The following is an 11,804-nucleotide window of genomic DNA, read 5'->3' as shown; positions in this document are numbered from 1 at the left end:
TCAAATTATGCTGGCTTAATAAAATAAATTGGGAAACTAGCCATATTTTTTGTTTTGTTTTGTTTTGTTCTAATAACAGAATGTTACCTCTGCAGTATCTACAGTTGGAATTTATTGACAATTTTTATGGCATAATATACATGATCAATCTTTATAAATGTTTAATGGGCTCTAGAAAGGATAATGTATTTCCTGTAGGGAATAAAATTTGGCTGCAACTGTAGCTATAGCTATTCAACTTTCCTATATTATTCAGATCTTTGTTTTAAGTAATTAATTATTATTATTATTATTTTGAGATGGAGTTTTGCTCTTATTGCCCAGGCTGGAGTGCAGTGGTGTGATCTCCGTTCACTGCAACCTCTGCCTCCCAGGTTCAAGCGATTCTACTGCCTCAGCCTCCCGAGTAGCTGGAATTACAGGCGCCTGCCACCACACCCGGCTAATTTTGTGTTTTTAGTAGAGACGGGATTTCTCCATGTTGGTCAGGCTGGTCTTTAACTCCTGACCTCAGGTGATCCACCCGCCTCAGCCTCCCAACGTGCTGGGATTACAGGCGTGAGCCACCACGCCCGGCCTGTTTTAATTTATTTACTTTTACTATTTGACTTGTCAAACAGCAAAACAGGTGCTCTTATTTTCTTCATGATGCACCACACTTATTTTTTTTGCCTTCTCTAACTGAGTGCTATTCTGTTCATAAAGGTTCATGATTAAAATTCTTTTGTTTCCTTTTTTAACTGGCTTTTGTGAGCACTATCATGATTAAGATTCTTATAAAATTACCTTCTTTAAATGGGAAAACATATTCGCAAACTATATATCTGAAAAGGGGTTAATATCCAAAATACATAAGGAACAGAATTCAACAACAACAACAACAACAACAAAAACCCTGATTTTAAAATGGGCAAAAGATCTGAGTAGGCATTTCTCAGAAGAAGATATACAAATGGGCAACGGGTATGTTTTTTAAATGTTCACCATTTTTAATCATCAGGGAAATGTAAATCAAAACCGCAATGAGATATCACCTCACCCCAGTGAGAATGGCCATTATCAAAAAGACAAAAGATAAGTGTTGGCAAGAATGTGGAGAAAAGGGAGCCCTTATACATTGGTGGGAATGTAAATTAGTACAACCATTATGGAAAACAGTATGAAGCTTCCTCAAAATATTAAAAATAGAACTGCCATATGGTTCAGCAATCCCACTACGGGGTATATATCGAAAGGAAATGAAATTACTATGTCAAAGAGTGATCTGTACTCCTGTGATTATCACAGCACCATCCACAATAGCCAAGATATGGAATCAGTCTAAGTGTTTATCAGTGGTTGAATGGATAAAGAAAATGTGGTATATACACATTTACTGTACTTACCTATTTTCACACCACAGTTGACTGTGGGTAGCTGAAACACTGGAAAGCAAAACTGTGCATATGGAGGGACTACTGTGCTGCATGATCTCACTCATGTGAAATCTGAAAAGGCTGATCTAATGGGAGTAGAGAGTAAAATGGTGGTTAGCAGAGGCTTGGACGGTTAGACAGGAGGGAGATTTGGTCAGTCATAATAATTAGATAGACAGAAGTTAGATAGAAGCAATAAATTTCAAGAGCTTTACAGTACAGCAAGGTGACGATAGTTAATGATGACACATTGTATGCTTATTTGTTTCCTTAAAAAATATAAAGTGGATGTTATGTGCTTTCGCCACAATTACTATGTGAGGTAAGGCATTTGTTAATTACTGAAATTTAACCATTCTACAATGTTTATATACTCTGAAATGTCATGTTGTACATGATAAAAACATACAATGTTATCTGTTAATTTAAAATAAATAAATAATTAGAAAAGAAATTACCCTCCGTCTTGTTCATTTTTAGGGGGAGGAGTAAATTCGACTATGACATATGGATACTGAGTAACTATGTTTGTTTGCATTTAGTTATCATATCTTTGCCTATCCTATTACTCCTAAACTTTCTGTGATTTAGATAAATGTTTTATAAATAAAATATAGTTAGAATTTGTAAATATTCTGAAAATCTCAAGCTCTAATAGTGGAGATTAAGCTATTTATTTTTATTGTGAGTATGATATAGTTGGTATATATGTCCTCTTTTTAAAACATGTTTTTTCTTTTTCTTTCATTACTATGTATACTGTCTTTTCCTATATGGGCTGTGCTTCCCTTATTTCAATATTTTCCAGTGTTTTTGAAAGTATTTATCTTATATTAACATTTTTCTACTGGTTTTCTGTTTTTCTTTTCTTCTTTTCTTTTCTTTTCTTCTTTTTTGACAGAGTTTCACTCTTGTTGCCCAGGCTGGAGTGCAGTGGTGCAATCTTGGCTCACTGCAACCTCCACCTCCAGGGTTCAAGCAATTTTTCTGCCTCATCCTCCCGAGTAGCTGGGATTACAGGCATGTGCCACTATGCCTGGCTAATTTTGTATTTTTAGTAGACATGAAATTTCCCCATGGTGGCCAGGCTGGTCTTGAACTCCTGACCTCAGGTTATCCAACCGCCTTGGCCTCCTGAAGTGCTAGGATTACAGGCGTGAGCCACTGCGCCCGGCCTGGTTATCTGTTTTTCAAAAGCATTCTTGAAACCACATTATTTGCTTGTCAAAGTGAAGAGTAAATGTAAAATAAATACTGTTATTTTACATTTATGTTTGCCACTCCCCCACCCATATAAACACTTCTTTTATCGTTAACTGTATATAATAAAATCAATCGACCAGGGAATGTTATATGACTAGCTTTAAGATAACTGTCGTTGGTTATAATGCATTCAAGCTCGGAAACTAGTACAAAGAATGGGAAAAAAATCTGTCAGGAGCAACACAGCAGCTTTTTCAAAAATTTTTTCATCACCCAATGTGGTGATAATTTATTTACTCCTAGTCAGTTGTGCAAAGAAAATATTGGTTCTTTGTTTTTCTGCAACACAATTAATCTGCATGAGCCTTACCTGACAGGTTGCAGGGAATAACAAACATTTCATTAATGGTTTCTAGGTTTCTTTAGTAATACACTTGCCTTCAGGTAAATGCTCAGTATTTGGAATGTTCCCTTCCTCAGTGAGAGAGGTTCCATGTCTCTTTCTCTTTTAATAAGGGCACTAATTTCATCATGAGACACTACCCTCATGGCCTCATCTAAGTCCAATTACTTTCCAAAGGCCCCATCTCCAAATACTATCACATTGGAGGTCAGGGGCTTCTTCAATATATGCATTTTGGGGAGATGCAACCATCCAGCCTACAGCAGCTACTTATGCACTTGGTATTTTCCACAAACTGTTGTAAACATAAGACACTGTTTTCAGTTTCTGTTGAATCATGCCTACAACCTGAACAAACTTTGCCCAATTCCATAGGTAAAATTCTGGACCACTTTTCCAGCAGGGCAGTAGGGACAAATAGCAGCTAAAATGACTTAAGTTTTGCCACTGAACTGATCAGGATGAAGTTCCAACTCAACCATTGATAGCTGGACCTGAGTTTTCTCATCTGCAAAAAGGGACTGATAAGAAAAATAGCTAGCTATGTAAGTGCTAGATAAGCCCTGTGCCAAGCATCTTTTGTAAACATCGAGGTAAATACTATTATTACACGTATTTTGTTCATGAGGGAATTAAGGCCTAGTGAGGTTAAGTAAAAACGCTGAAAGTTAATCCAAGTCAAGGAGCTTGGATTCCAACCCAGCTCTGATTCTGAAACCTAAGCTGTACAATGGTTGTACATTTTACATAAGAAGGTGCATACAGAGTAGTTATTGGTAGTTATTGTTACATTTATCATTGTTGAAGATGAACTTGCTATGTTCAATTCTTTCATTCATTTGTTCATTCATTCCATATTTATGGAGTCCCTGTTATACGCTGAGCTAAGCACTCTGGCACAGTGAGCTGAGACTGCCCTTTCTTCTCTCTTTCATCCTCTGTTCACTCCCCTGGTACATGATGCAGGCAAAGCTCTGTGATGGAATTCCAAGTTGACAGATTCAGTTCATGAGCCAGGCTGTCTCAGTGTGCGTTCTCCCTGAGGCGGAGCCTGAGACAAGGACTTGAGTAGTCTTTCGGGATGCCTCTTTACTGAGGAAATGTTCTTAGGAAGCAGGAGTGAGGGATGGTGACAGTGAGGCAAGGAAGGAGGAAAAGCTAGTGTAAGGATGCATGATCAAAGCTGCTACTATGGACAGCAGTGCTGGATTCTGCCAGGGTCTCTTAAGAAGTGTACAGAATGCCTGTCAGACAGTTTCCCTGAAGATGAGAGGGGCTAGAGCATTTACCTGCCCACTCTACTCTGTACTAAATTCATTGAGGGTTGCCCCAGAAGACGTAAATTTCAGCCTGCACTTGTCTATCCTACAGAGGCTGGAGGCAGAATGCAGAGACTCCACATATACACGAGGTGGGTCACCAGTGTAAAGTGAGTCTGAGCCCTCTAGTACCAGCTTCCGGGGCTACAGCTGAAAGCTTATGCCTGATACACACGCTTCCTGCCTCCCCACTGCGTGGCTCCAGTTCCAGTCTCTCTGTACTTCATATCACAACACATTTTATTCAGAGCAATAGCCCTCGGCCCCAGGAAAAGGTTAACTGATGTTCCACTAACTTGGTTTACCTAGGTAGCAGCAATAGGAGAAGTTTGGTGGTATAATTTGAACAATGTCTCTGGCTACCAGGCCACAGGTGAAAAATCCCTGGCCCACCATCATATCCTCAAAGAAAGCCATTCCTCTTCAGCTTAAACATCTAGAGTTGCTTCTGCCATGTGCAACTGAAAACATTGACCAATATAACCCCCATGACACTGGATAAATGATGTTTTGTTTTATGATATTTGGCCTATGTTATTATGAAGAATTAAGACCAGATTAGTCCTAGAAATAACAATAAACTTTAAGACTATCTGTGTAGGGCAAAGTACCAAGAAACATGAAACATTCAAAATTGGAATTTGTTTTTTTTTCTACCAAGAGTCTGAAAACTCAAAGGCAGCCTGATCACTGTACATAGAAAGCAGGTTTTTTGGCACATGGTCAAAGAAATTTTTCTTATGAAATCATTTCTGCCCTTACAATTGCTGCTCCTTGTAGCTTAGATTGATTGTTTCTTTTGTCATTATGTGCCAAATATTTTACACAAAAGATAAAATGCAGCAAAAATAAATCAAAGTAGAATGGCTGTCCTTCATGGCCAACTTTTATTTTCTGCTGGATTCTGGCTGATTTCTGAAGAGTTCAGAGTTCCAGAGAGCAATCAGAGGTGGATTTTATTAAATCATGGGTTATAGAACTTTACAGCTTGAAAACTAGAGTCCACTCTTCTTGTTTTGAGGTTTCACAACTAATCAGAGTCAGATATAGATTAGAAAAACCCTGGTGTATTGTTCCTTCTCTGCAAACACATCTGTTCTAAGAGAAGCAAGTGCTATCCTGTTCTGCACAGACCTTTACTTATAGCAATTCTTTCTGTCCATGACTCTCAAATCAGGGATTTTGCTGATGAAACAGATGAACAAAGAGATGAAAGTTAAAATGGCCTTGGCATTTGGGAGGGAGGAAAATGTATGTGCTGGGCTTCAGGGTTTTTTCCTAAAAGTGGTCCCCATGTGGCAGGAAGTTCCTTCCCTTTCCTGGGTTCTCCCCTGAACTCCAGATTTAGCCAAATTTATTTCTCCTCAGGGTCCTTTTAGTTTCTGCTTAATGAGACCGGGGGTTGCTGAGTGTTTGACTGATGCTTGGTTTATGTACAGCCTGTATTCATCTTCCTGAGAAAGGACATTGCACAAGAAAGGATTGCCAATGGCAACCGTGGTGGCATTTCTGAGAGCAGCAGCAGCATTCTCAGCAGCTCTGTTCCCCACCCCAGTGGAAGGAAACCCCACACTGACCAGCGGATGGAGGGATGGAGGGAGGCCTGACTCCTAGAGCAATTATAACATCCCTATGCACAGAGACCTTGCGTTCTTTTCAGTAAACATTAGACCTGCTCACTTTTTACCCACATACAGTTCTGATTTCTAGGACACCTGAGCCAAGTCTAGGCTGGAGGAAAATACTTCTAGAGTAAAATCAGATCGGTGCAAAGGAGTTGCAACATCTCAACTGGCTTCATGGATCAAATATTACATTTCCATGTCAGATTCAGGTGCCCGAACTGATCTCTTTGCTGGAATCCCCCAGCTAAGAAATGCAAATCTCTGGCCTGCCTATAGCAAGGTCCCAAGCAATGCCCTTGGCGGCTTAGCCAGGACACAGTGACTTGGAATACAGCTTGCTAAGCGTGTGGCCTGGCCAGGATGGTGTAACTGGCAAGCTAGCTGGAACAAGTTCTTCTGCTTCAGGCCAGTGAATATTTATGTCGGGCCAGGAGTAAAGAAAATGGATTTCACTTACTTTGTATCCTGTGTATTGCCTGGGGAGAGGGTGGCAAGTGAAAGTTTTTTGTGTCTGTAGCACTTTTGGTAGCTCCGCTAAGCTTGCTGCCTGTGCCCTCCCTTTCTGTCCACCTCTCCTTTCCTCTTCAGGACAGAACTCAGCATACTGCACATAAATATGCATATGACCGTTCACATCCCCTGGTTTCAAGGGGATTTTTTTTTTTTTTTTGAGACAGAGTTTCGCTCTTGTTGCCCAGGCTGGAGTGCAATGGCGTGATCTCGGCTCACTGCAACCTCCACCTCCCGGGTTCAAGTGATTCTCCTGTCTCAGCCTCCTGAGTAGCTGGAATTGCAGGTGCCTGCCACTATACCTGGCTAATTTTTGGTATTTTTAGTAGAGACGGAATTTCACCATGTTGGCCAGGGTGGTCTCAAACTCCTGACCTCAGGTGATCTGCCCGCCTTGGCCTCTCAAAATGCTGGGATTTTAATAAAGCTGGATGGTCCTTGGAATTCAAACTTTAAAAACAGGTAGATTGAGTAGTGATTTATCGAACAGCCCTCGAATTGAAAAGAAAAAAACCCACACTTTCATGAAGGTATAATCGACACAAAATAAACCACATGTGATTAAGTGTACAATTTGATAAGATTTTTCCTTTTATTTTTAGTTGACACATAATTATACATATTTATAGGATATAGAGTGATATCTTAATACATGTATACAATGTGCAATGATCAAATCAGGGTAATTAGCATATTCATAACCTCAAATATTGATCATTTCTTGGTGAACATTCAAAACTCTCTCTTCTAGCTTTTTGAAAATACACAATGAATTATTATTTGTAGTCACCCTATAGTGCTATAGAACACTAACTTATTCCTCTTATCTGCCTGTAATTTCCTGTCTGCTAAACACCCTCCATATCCTTCTCTCCCTCCTATTCTTCTCAGCCTCTAATAACCACAGTTCTGCTCTCTACTTCTATGAGCTCAACTTTTTTTTTAGCTCCCACATAGGAGTGAGAACGTGTGGTATTTATCTTTCTGTGCTTGACTTATTTCACTTAATATAATGTCCTCTAGGCTCATCCATGTAGCTGCAAATGACAGGATTTCATTCTTTTTTATGGTTGAATCGTATTCCATTGTGTATATCTACCACATTTTCTTTTCTTTTCTTTTTTTTTTTTTTTGAGGTGGAGTCTCACTGTGTTGCCCAGGCTGGAGTGCAGTGGCACAATCTCTGCTCACTGCAACCTCCACCTCCCAGGTTCAAGCGATTCTCCTGTCTCAGCCTCCTCAGTAGCTGGGATTACAGGCATGCGCCACCACATCCAGCTAATTTTTTTTTTAATTTTTAGTAGAGACAAGGTTTCTCCATGTTGGCCAGGCTGGTCTTGAACTCCTGACCTCAGGTCATCTGCCTGCCTTGGCCTCCCAAAGTACTGGGAGTACAGGTGTGAGCCACTGCGCCTGGCCCCACATTTTCTTTATCCATTCATCTGCTGATGAGCATTTAGGCTGATTCCATATCTTGACTATTATGAATAGTGCTGCAATAAACATAGGGGTGCAGATACCTCTTTGACATACTGATTTCATTTCCTCTGGATACTTACTCAGAGGTGAGATTGCTGATCATATATGGTAGTTCTACTTTTAGTTGTTTGAGGAACCTCTTACTGTTTTCTATTAGGTTAGTGCAAAAGTAATTGCAATTTTTGCCGTTACTTTTGATTGCAGTTTTTGCCATTAACAAGTAATGGCATGTATGAGTTCCCCTTCTCCCAGTTGTCACCAGCATTTGTTATTTTTTGTCTTTTTGATAATTGCCATTCTAACTGGGGTGAGATTATCTCTCACTGTGGTTGTTTTTTGCCTTTCTCAAGTGATTAGTGATGTTGTGCATTTTCTCACATACTTGTTGGCCATTTGTATGTTTTCTTTTGAGAAATGCCTTTGCCGATTTTTTGATGGGATTTTTTTTTTTTTCCGGCTGTTCAGTTGTTTGAATTTCTTGTAGATTTCAGATATTAGTCCCTCATTGGATGAATAGTGTGCAAATGTTTTCTCCCATTCTACAGGTTGTCTCTTCATTCTGTTAATTGTTTCTTTTCTGTGCAGAAGCTTTCTAGTTTGATACAGTCCCATTTGTCTATTTTTGCTTCAGTTGCCTGTGCTGTTGAAGTCTTACCCATAAAATCTTTGCCTAGACCAATGTCTTGAAGTGTTACCCTTAGGTTTTCCAATTTGATAAGTCCTGGCAGACGTATATGTCACTTGATTGTGGTAAAGCTGTCATCATAACCAAGAAAATGAACATACTCATCACCCCCTAAATTTTCCTCTTGCCCCTTTGTCATCCATTTCTCTCCTCCATTCCTGCTCCCTGACCTTCCAAAGCTCCACCCGAAATCCCCAGGCAACCACTGATCTGCTTCCTCTCAGATTAGTTTTCATTTTCTAGAAGTTTATATGAATGGAATTATACAATATATACTGTTTTTTGTCTGGCTTCTTTCACTCAGCATAATTATTTTGAAATTAATCTATTTTGCATGAGCTTTATTAGTTTGTATTTTTCAAAGACTTGGTCCATTTTATCTAAGTTGTTGCATTTATTGGAATAAAATTGCTCATGATATTTCCTTATTATTTTAAAAATATCTGTAGAATTTGAGGTGCAGTCACCTCTTTCATTTCTAATATGAATGATTTTTTTTCTCTACTTTCTTACCTGACCTTTCTAGGTAGAGATTCATCAGTTTTATTATTTATCCATCAATGTTTATTAATCTTCTCAAGCAAGCAGCTTTTGGTTTCATTGCTTTCCTCTATTGTTTTTCTGTTGTGTATTTGTTGATTTTGGCTTTGATATTTATCATTACTTCCTTCTGCTTTACTTCCTCAGTTTAATTTGCTGCTTTTAGAATTTCTTAAGGTGCAAGTTGAAATCATTGATTCAATAGCGGTCTTCCTTCTAATATAGGTGGCTACTGCTATACTTGCATCTCCAAGTACCATTTTGGCTGCATCCTACAATGAAATTAAATTAGAAGTCAGTATAATATAAATCCTTTGTATAATATAATCCTCTTAAATGTATACAGTTTTGTTTCATTGCTCAGAATGTGGTCTACTTTGATAAGTGTTCCGTGTGCACTTGGAAATATTGTATATTCTGTTGTTATTGTGTGGAGTGTTTTATAAATACCAATTAGGACAAGTTAACAGATAGTGTTGTTCAAGATGTCTATATCTTTTTTGATTTACATTCTATATTTCCTATTAATTATTGAGAGACCGACATTGAAATCTGACAATTACAGATTTAAAAATTTTCTCCTTGAAGTTACGTCAGTTTCTGTTTCATGTATTTTTGAAGCTCTGTTATTAGATGTACACATTTTTGGAATTTTTATGTTCTCTTGACCCATTTATCATTATGTAATTACCTTTTCTATCCATGACAGTGTTCTTTACTCTAAAATTTACCTATCTAATATTAAAATAGCACACTAGCTTTATTTTGATTAATGTTAACATGATATATCTTTTCTCATCTATTTAAATTTCCCATTGTTGCTATAACAAATTATCAAAAACTTAGAGACTTAAAACAACATAATTATTACCTTACAGTTCTGGAGGTCAGAAGTCCAAAATCAGTCTCACTGGGCTAAAGTCAAAATGCCATCAGGGTTGGTTCCTTGTGGAGGCTCTGGGGAAAATGCTTTTCTCTGCTTCTGGAGGCCTCAGCTCATGGGCCTCTTCCTCCATATTTAAAGCCAGCAGCATAGCCTCATTACAGGGAGGTACGGGAGGGCTCAGAGTGAGTGGTAACTGTGGCATGACTATGCTCTGTGTTTCATAAGAAATTAAAGCATTGTGCAAAAACTAGGTGGTGTTACTGTATTCTACTCATACTCATGAAGGCATCTGGGAACATTCAGCCTAGAGAAGCAAAGACTCAACAGGACAGGGTGGTTATAGTGAACTATTAGAAGAGCTTTGAAATAAACAGTAGAAGTATGTGTGTTGGATGACTAGCAAGACCTAACTCTCTTTCTTGTCCCATGTGGGTGCTGCATGTACAATCACATGTGATCCACAGTTCCTTGGAGAGGATAAATCCCATGTGCATGTCACCATCAGTCATTCTGTTTTGGGAGAAGAAAGACAGAAACACACGGATACAAAGAACAGAATCCCCCATTCTTGGGCATGAGGCTGAGGAGGGTATCTAGGGGTTGCTTTTGGTGTCCTGCCCATATCCTCTCTGGCCTTACTATTGTAGTTCCAGACTTCTCACACCCTAGGGCTTGCTTTCAGCAGGTGAGAAGTGTGTAAAGATGAGTTCCATCTCTCCTACCCAGCTGTCCTCAACCAGGGACTGATGAAAGTTGGTGTACAGATCCTTCGGCTCCCTTGCCCCGGGACTTGATAACTCTCAGGCACTCATTCTGACTCCTGTGTTCCCCAAATGGATTCATGCTCCAGTCACAGCAGAAATTGGCTGTACACCATTTATTCATGGATCATACACCATTTATTCATTGTCTTCTCTTTGCTTACTTCCTCTTTTTGCCTCCAGTGTTTCTTGGGATCACCTGCTTCCAAAACTTCTCATACTTGAGTCCTAATATCAGGATCTGCAACAGAACTAAACAGGTACGGCAAAGGGGATAGAGCTACAATAAAAACTCACATTTGATATACTGTCCCATTAAAACCAGAACATCAAAAAGATAGTTGAAAATCCCCCCAGTAAAGCTCTGGAACTAAACTTTAATGGGGTTACTGGCAAGAAGAATGGCTTTTTAAATGTCCCTTAGGAGAGGGATATGAGACATTTAAAGGAAAAAAAAAATGCCCTGCAAATCATGGTGAAACGCTTGCTCAGGAACATAAAACAGATGCTTTAAAAACCCTATCCGTAAGGCTGAGACTCCAGAGGGCTTTGGTGATTCCAGCCTTGTGCTTTATTTGCTGGCAATAGATTTGCCAGAGCTCCTGGGGTTGCCATAGTATTTGTAAACAAACTTTGTGGTCAACAGACTCTGGGGTGGTACAATAATGCTAAGGGGAGTTTGAAAGAGGCAGAGTGCTCTTGCTGAGAAGAAGTCTTGAAAAATGACATCCTCAAAAGGTCACAGAACACAAAACAATGAACTGGCTGCCTTGCTGATCAGGATCCACCACATTTGGATCAATTCCCTCTCTCCATCCTTCTTCCAGCATCCCTCCTCTCTAGAGGCATTTCACCACTCCTCCCTGAGGAGAAACAAGTTATAATCAAATGGGAAAATCTCCCCGGTGACACAGATGATGTGGCCAGAGTCCCTGACAGTTAAGGTGCAGTTGAGGAAGGAAAGATAACAAGAATTAT

At 39.3% G+C, this 11,804-nt stretch overlaps 1 annotated feature.

The window, feature by feature from the left end:
* Positions 1,343–1,543: a silencer, noted in NCBI's record as "peak5226 fragment used in MPRA reporter construct". NCBI's record gives its function as "represses an SCP1 promoter by STARR-seq MPRAs in K562 erythroleukemia cells {active_cell/tissue: K562}" and the evidence as "EXISTENCE:reporter gene assay evidence [ECO:0000049][PMID:32103011]".

Source organism: Homo sapiens, chromosome 5, assembly GCF_000001405.40.
Source record: "Homo sapiens chromosome 5, GRCh38.p14 Primary Assembly".
In the NCBI taxonomy this organism is placed as follows: Eukaryota; Metazoa; Chordata; class Mammalia; order Primates; family Hominidae; genus Homo; species Homo sapiens.
This window is presented reverse-complemented; position numbering and strand designations above follow the sequence as displayed.